At 37.5% G+C, this 8,669-nt stretch overlaps 1 annotated feature.

Annotated features, from left to right (window-relative positions):
* Positions 6,104–6,799: an enhancer, noted in NCBI's record as "NANOG hESC enhancer chr18:25358819-25359514 (GRCh37/hg19 assembly coordinates)". NCBI's record gives its function as "activates a minimal SCP1, AML or CMV promoter by ChIP-STARR-seq in primed H9 embryonic stem cells {active_cell/tissue: H9 hESC(primed)}" and the evidence as "EXISTENCE:reporter gene assay evidence [ECO:0000049][PMID:30033119]".

Genomic DNA, 8,669 nt, shown 5'->3' with positions numbered 1-8,669 from the left:
TTTTATTTGGAATAGCAACCAAGAAAATAATTTTCTTTACTTAAACGCAGATTCTGGAGATACACTTTGGGCTACACAGCCAGCAATGTATTTGACTGCTTTTTTCTTCATCTCTGGCTATGAGGACTAAGGAAGGGAGTGACTTGTCGTGTAGGAACTCTCTCTTTGTGCCAGGGAGAAAATGGTCCTTTCTTCTGCTGTAAAGCACTCAAACAGGGAAAATCAAGAACTGGGTTTCTGATGATTGCCTCCTTACATTTCAGAATTTTCTCAAATTTGTGAATTTTTTTTTCATCTTTATTCTCTTTCTCTCTTTAAAAGCTAGTTTTGGCCAGTCACGGTGGCTCACACCCGTAATCCCAGAGCTTTGGGAGACCGAGGTGGATGGATCACCTGAGGTCAGGGGTTCAAGACCAGCCTGGCCAACATGATGAAACCCCGTCCTTACTAAAAATACAAAAAATTACCCAGCATGGTGATGCACCCCTGTAATCCCAGCTACTCGGGAGGCTGAGGCAGGAGAATCACTTGAGCCCGGGAGGCAGAGGTTGCAGTGAGCCAAGATCGCACCATTGCACTCCAGCCTGGGCAATAAAAGCAAAACTTCGTCTCAAAATAAAATAAAACAAAATAAAATAAAATAAAATAAAAGCTAGCTTTGCCTTTTTCTTATATGGACACAATTTCCTTCTACCTACCCTGCAACATCTTGCTGATTACTAAAGTTAACTCCAGGTGGGCTAAGGTCCCAGTGGAGTACAATCAAGTAGCCCTAGTGCCCTTCTGGGGCCCCTCCTAGCCCTGCTATGCTTTTAGGACTACAAGTCATCTCTCTGGGGCTGGATCCTGGTTTTCCTCTGAATTTAGCATTAACTGTGCTCAGCAATAGTTCCTACTGGTCCCAGTTGGGAACATCTTATTACCAACTGCTAGTTCTGCCTTGTCTTCATTGGAGGAGCAAATATTATGGCCAATGAGTGTTTTCATCATTTCTGTAGCTTTCCTTGCAACTGGAAGTGATTTTACTCTTTCAAGTTTAACACTTCCCTTGACCCGAGGACTGAGAGGAAGTTCTCAAGGAACTGGGCTGGAGAGTGCATGTGAGGCTGCCTCTCTGACACTTGATGGAACTTTTTAGGGCTTAGAAGGGGATTATATTTCACTGAGTCCTTTGCAGTTTAGGGCAATGGCTCTGAATTACAGAGCAGTGAGAGTTAAGATGTAATCCCCCATATCCCACAGAACTCTAACCCATCCCAAGTTCTCTTCCTGGGCTCCTGGGGGGTCTCAAAAACCTCTCAGATGGGCTCTTTTGCGCCTTTTATGTCATGCCCAAGGTGCTGGTGACGATAGAATAGTAAAATGTAGAGTGGTCTCTATGGTAAAAGTAATTTGTTTCTAGTCTCATGTAATTGTTATTACAACATTGTGATGCAAGGAGAGATACTGGAACTAACATTTACTCCGTGCCAAGCATGTACCAGGCACTTTACATATATCATTTTATTTAATGCTCTTAGGACTTTATGGAGGTTTATTCTCACTTTCCAGATGAGTAACCTACAGTTTGGAGATGTTAAGTGAATTGCCTAAAGACCACTAGTAAGTGGTGGCATCAGGATTCAAACTCAGTTTTATGAAACTCCTTCCACGATGCCCTCTCTAAAAACAGAAAGGGATCTAATAAGGCAGTTGTCAGGAATCCAGTCCTTGATTTGTCCCTGTTTAAGTGCTTCTTGAAGGCCTTTATTAATTTCCTAGGGTTCCTATCACAATGTACCGTAAACTGGGTGGCTTAAAACAGAAATGCATTGCTTCTCAGTTCTGGAGGCTAGAAGTCTGAAATCAAGGTGTTGGCAGGGCCATATTCCCCCTGAAACCTGTAAGATAATTTTTCCTTGCCTCTTTCAGCTTCTGGTGGTTAGTTGCTAATCTTTGGCATTCCTTGATTGGCAGCTGCTCATTCCAACCTGTGCTTTTGTTGTGACAAGACAAAACACACACAGTCCCTGTCCTCACATGGCCACTTTCTTCTGTAACAGCCACAATCATATTGGAGTAGGGGTCCACCCTTCTCCAGTATGACCTAATTTTAATTCACCTAATTACTTGTGCAACAGCTCTGTTTCCAAATACGGTCCATTCTGAGATACAAGCAGTTAGAACTTCAATATATCCTTTTTTTGGTGGGGGGCGGGGGTTGGAGACAGAATTCCACAAATAATAGTTCCTTTTGTGTACTGGGGCTGTATTAGACACAAGGACAATAACTTGATGGAAGTAATTATTCTTACCCAAAATAAATCTTTCACTCAAATTTGGCTCATTTTCTCTTTAGAGTACTCCATTTTAGAGTAATAATAATAATAACTAATTTTAATATGTAAAAATACTTTTCCACAGGAGTCCTAGTAGGAATTACAATGTTCACATTCTAGTACAAACTTTATAATTGAAACAATGTGTATTAGTCTGTTTTCATGCTGCTGATAAAGATATAAACAAGACTGGGTAATTTATAAAGAAAAAGAGGTGTAATGGACTCACAGTTCCATGTGGCTGGGGAGGCTTCACAATCATGGCAGAAGATGAAAGTCACGTCTTATGTGGCAGCAGGCAAGAGAGAATGAGAGCCAAGCAAAAGATGTTTCCCCTTATGAAACCATCAGATCTCCTGAGACTTATTCACTACCACGAGAACAGTATGAGGGAACTGCCCCCATGATTCAATTATCTCCCACTGTCTGCCTCCCACAACACATGGGCATTATGGGAGCTACAATTCAAGATGATATTTAGGTGGAGACACAGCCAAACCATATCACAACAGTTGACTTGACAACTCCATTCTCCTATGATTTTATGTATCACTTTGAAAGAGTCATATTCACATCTTGGATTTTCTATTAACCGTATCAGATGAATTCTTAATAAACTTGAGTATAGTCTTCAGCAATATTCTTGAAATGATGATTTATAGCTGGTACAATCAAACTCATGGCAAAGTAAAGAAAGGATTCAAATCTGTAGTTCCCACAGTTTGTTGTTTATACCTCTGCAGTGCTTTGTGTTTTTTTTTTCTTCTTCTTTTTTTTTTTTTTTTTTTTTTTGAGAAGGATCATCTTTCTTGAGCACACTCTTTGGGATTCTTGATCAGGAAGGCTCAAACTGGCAGTTAGTAAATTGTGTCTGCTATTCTTTTACTTTATTTTTCTACAATATTCGCATTGACCCAATTTAGCATTTTCTAAATTTTCTTTAAATGAGAATATGAGGGAGAAGACTCACATGGAAACTTCTTATCACATCTCTTGATTGTCCATTGAGATTTTATTTAAATCCACTTTCTATGACACAATGCTAGCTAAAACATGTTTTTTTTTCCCACAAATCATGCTATGGCATTCTCTATGTAAGAGAAAGGTTGTTGGTTATTGCCTTTTAAAATTCTGCTTTCCTCTAAACACATTGTATAAACTATCCCATGTGACTAGTTGCCATGTTGAGTTTGAAATTCCAGCTCACTAGAGAGGATCGTGTCTAATACACTTGGTTCACCTGTCACTCTCAATGAATATTTGATCATTGCACGCAGCTATACATTTTATACCTCCCATGCCTAACTACTTATTCCCATTTCTGTACAGAACCAGCTACAAACCCTTATTTCTAAAGATATTGCTGAAGACTATACTCAAGTTTATTAAGAATTTATCTGGTATGTTTAAAAGAAAACCCAAGATGTGAATATGACTCTTCCAAAGTGATGCATAAAATCTTTAAAACATTAAATTTAATTGATGGAACTACTTTAAACTAATAATTACCTACTGCTTTTTATTGTTACGTGTGTACTGCTTGTTCTCCTTCTCACCCTTATAGCATTGAAATCACTGGAAGCAGATGTAGGATATTTTACATCAAACCAATTTTATGACCCTTCTCTTCTCCCTGGTTTCAACCAAATCTTCTCCTAATGTGGGAATGGAGTATCACGATGCATTACAATATTCTCTCTAGGAACACTGGAAATGAAGATATTGACATTTAAATACTTTTAGGTGGTCTGAAGCAAGACTGCTATTTCCTGAAGAGGAAATCAAGAGAATGGCATAGAAATAAGAATTCTAGCATCCTAAGATTTTATATAATTTTATTACTTGCAGAACCACTGGAAATTCAATGTTTTCTTTTTTAACTATTGTCACTCCATGGCTATTTGTACTCTATGCAACACTGGGCCAGAATCCTGACATTGAGCCTCTGTATTTCTTTTATTCATCCAGCAGCCTCTAGAGAAAGTGAGGAGCATGAAGTGGTGATTGAGAGCACAGGCTCTGAAGCCATACTGCTGACCACCAATCATGTGACTTTGGGCCTCTGTTTCCCCTCTTGAGAATTACGTTGGGTCTGTGAAATTCTCAGAACTCTGCCTCTGTACACTTGTATACTCACTATACTAATTTGTTTTTCCTCTAACCTGGAGTTACTATTAGCTTTGTGATTTTGAGCAAATCCTTTAAACTTTCTTATGTGAAATGTGAATAATAAAACCTAACTAACCCACAAGCTTTTCATGGGGATTAAGCTAAATATTTTATATAGAAATTCATTGTGCATGTAGCTTATTTCTATTAACTATGCAGGTCCCATATATATATATACTTTCTTAGCATATTATTCAAGGCATCCTGGTGACCATAACAACTAATGTCTTCAAAGTCTCTTAAAACCCATAATTTTCTGAAAGTGATTTAGACATTGGGAGCATCTAGATCATTACAAATTGTTCCATATGTTGCTTGATATACTCCATATGTAATATTGCAGTATATGTAATATTGAAACATATCCAACTACTTTTTTATTGTAATTCAAGCCATAATCATTGAGTAGTAGCTTATCAAACCATAAAGTACCAAAGTATCTTGAGTAAAAATAAACCAAGTGGGAGAAAATGTTATGTGCCACCTTCTATCTCATCTTCCCAAGACTCATGGCTCATGAAAGCAGTTGCTGCTAGAAAAATAACAATTTTGCTATATAAATCCCAACCATGCTATGACTAAAAGTCTAGAGCTTTCAACTTAAAAGTATTGTACGTCATCGTGTCTTCATATTTTTACTGTGGGTGGGGAAGTAATAGAGTGAGTCAAAAGTATAGACTGAAGTTTTATCGAAAAGAAAAGGTTACACATTTTTTGCAGTTTTATTTGAGTTCATTACAACTACCTACATCCCTAGGGATAATATGGGGACATTGTTAAGACTTATTGACGGAGCTGATATCAAGTTTGGGAGGTAGTACTTTTTACCATTTATGAGTATAGTAATTTCAAAAGAGTGCTATAACCTTGTTTTGTGTTTCTAAGCAGCTTGACTCATTCAGTTTTTGGTTTCCTGGTTTATTATGTGATCATCATTCCATATGGTGCTGTTATCTTCCAGCTCATATTTTCATCAGCCAGAGCTAGCTTGTTGCCCATTTAATGATGCAGAAATTTAAATTCATGGATGGCAGTTTCAGATGTTAAAATACCATTGCAAATTTACCTAAGGAAAATGAGTAGAAGAGCATTTTTGAATTCAGAGCAAAATGGGTGTTCATGCTAAGGGAGAATTCTTGATCTCTTCAGTTCTCATACCACACAAAAATATCACCCAATTAGAGAATGCCGAAAGTAAAAAATTTAGGCTCCTTAGCTTACTATGAATTGAGTTGAAATAGGGAGAAATATATTTTAGCTCCAATCATGTGTGTGAAGTTTACTAAACTGCCATACGCCTCCATTTGTCAAAATGATTCATTTCAGAAAGAGAAAAAAAACATATTTTTCCACAGGTATCCCTGAGCTTGCCTTCATTTTTTTTTTAAGCCTCAAAGCTAAGTTCTGTTAGATCCATTCATAATTTCCATGCTTTAAACATCTGGCACATGCTAGATGGTCTCCTTACGTGTGGATGGCTGAATCCAGCACATGAGTTTAGATATTTCTGTAGGTTGATAACAGTCCAGCTCCTTATCAGCTGTGGCACTCAGAGTCACTGAACAAAATTCATAAAGTCCATGAATCTTGAAATAAGGAGCCTAGATAGAGATCTGGAGCCACATGACTGCTGCTCATTGTCTTTGAAGCAATTACCAAGCTGCATGGCTGTGAAAATTAGCATCTTCCACAGATAGAGGAAGGTTGCCCAGGTTTTTTTTTTTTTTTTTTTTTTTTTTGGTGGGATGGTGAGATATTCTGATGACTTCTCAGTGGATGCCTTTTCAGGAACAGGTGAATAGGGTTTCTGTAAATTGGTCTCCTAGCTTAGCTTTCTCATTACTTCTATCAGGGAATTAGTCTTCACACAGTAGGTTGCAATGCTTGCATATTTTAGTGTTTGTGGTGGTTCTTTTGTAGTAGTGAAAACAAATTCTTACTGCTTCATTGAACCTCACCTTCATCTGTTTAGGATAGCCAAGTAATACCAAACTTTCTGAAAAGAGGTGTTAGCCCTTGATGAAGTAGACTAGCCACTGAGTAAATGGAGAGTGTGTTTTCTTCTGAAGCTAATAGCCAACCTTGTTTACTTAAATGATTAGGTTTCAGATGCTTTACAATGGCTGTTTTCAAAAGTAAGTTGATGGTAAACAATAACAACAAAAAGCTCACATTCTGATTTAATTTGACTAGGCTATTGGGGCCATTCGTGGTTCTTTTCTGTTTTTATTGCACCCCTTACAGACAGCCCATGTCCTATACTAAGAATTTATAATTTTTATTCATGATACAGAAACATGCTCTAGGTATTTGCAGATGCTTAAATATTTTCCAACATATAAAATAATATGTGCTTATTTGTCTAAAATATTTTAAAAATCTGTGCATTTCTTGTCTTCTGGGGTATGTATACATAAGCAGGAAAAGTAGCATTGCCTGTCATTGGTCAGCTGTTATATCATCTGAAGGCTAAAATTAAATCTAATGGCTGGGAGAAGGAACTGGGTATCACGGTGCTTACTTTCTGCCTCTAGCACCAACTTGTGGAAGTTTCTGATATTGATCACAAATCTCTACTCCTCTCTCTGGATTTCAAACACATATCCCTCTCTTTGAAGGTTTAATTAAACCTGGGGAAGTCACTGGATGGTTGGCTTTAAGCCACTGAGCAAGGAAGAACACCATTTACCCACCAAACACCAAATGTCAAACGGCATTAATTTGCTCTCTCCCCCTTGCATCATTCTTTTCCCATCTAAATTTTAAAAACTTCTATTGAATTGAAGAAAGAAAAATGCTTCCTTTTTCACAAAATGTATGAGACTACTACTTGTGTATATGAATATAATTTGTTCCTCAAGGCCATGGTCTAACATCTTGGAGGGAATGTCTAAAGAATAAGTGGGACCAATATAAAGAATATGTTCATTTAGAATACAAGCAAATAATTTTGAGGGGAGGGTGTGGGAGCAATAATGGATTGAGAGCTCTGAGTGTGGGTTTTTCACAGCTTTGTGAGAACTGAATGCACAGTGACAAGGATCACATAGCAGTCTGTGATGATACTCTCCTTGTGCTCTGGGCAAGGGCATTTTATTTCATATATTATGTATAAACTCTCCGCTATGATGTCATGAAGTTCCTCCAAACAGAAATTAAGCAAAAAGAAATGCAAGGAGACAAGTTTACTTTTTTTTTTGGCTTGTTGCCTGCTGATATTCAGAGTCACATACTATCTGGATGGAGAGAGAGAAAAGGGCCCCTCACAGCAGTGGTGAGAAAGACTCTGCATTTGGTTTTTGAATGTTCCATTATGCGGTTGGTGTGCTTCACAGTCTTCACCCAAGCCCCATTCAGAATAGTTTCTCCTTCTACTCTTTTCGCAGTAAAAGGCAATCAGGAGATTTTGTATTTCCAGAAGTGTACATGAGTAAAGACTACTTTGTTGTCATCTTTCTGGTTAAATGTGTGAACCTGATTCAGCAGCATATTCTCAAATATCTCAGTATCATTTGGGACGTATGTCTGAAGGCCTCCCCACTGAATTCTCCGTGAGCATAGACTTATTTCAGGTTTGCAGATCATTGCATAGGCTTCCTCCAACTGCCAAAGTTCACACTAACTTTCTTGTGCATTTTCAGTCATTTTCTTGTGAAAGATGTGCTTCTTTGCTTACTTCTAAGGTTTAAAATAACCAATTGTTTAAAAAACTCACCTTTTCTTGATCTTTGATTACTTCCTTTCCAAATCATCTCATGTGCTCTGTAATACTCTCAATTACTTTCTAGCCTCAAGGTTTCTTAATGATCCTTAAGTTCAATAGTTGTTATTCATACCAAAAAATCAAAACCTGTTTACATTAATTCTTCCATAACTAATTAGCTCATGTTTAAGTATGTAGTCAATACAGAATGATGTAGCTATGAAAGTGAGCAAGAGTGTGGCCAGAAAACACTCTCTACTTAGGAGCTACCCAACATGCCATTATGTTGGGATGTTACTGTAGCCCATGGTCAGCCTCTCTATTTTGTTGTGCATGTTGTATAGACTTGGAGAGGAAGACGGATGCTAATCAAAATGATATCAAAGTATATACACCATAATAAGTGTTTAGATTGGGGTTATATTTTTATATATTTTATATTTTTATATTGTTTTCCATGAAGAAGATGAGTATAAGGT

This window comes from Homo sapiens, chromosome 18, assembly GCF_000001405.40.
Source record: "Homo sapiens chromosome 18, GRCh38.p14 Primary Assembly".
Lineage (NCBI taxonomy): Eukaryota > Metazoa > Chordata > Mammalia > Primates > Hominidae > Homo > Homo sapiens.
This window is presented reverse-complemented; position numbering and strand designations above follow the sequence as displayed.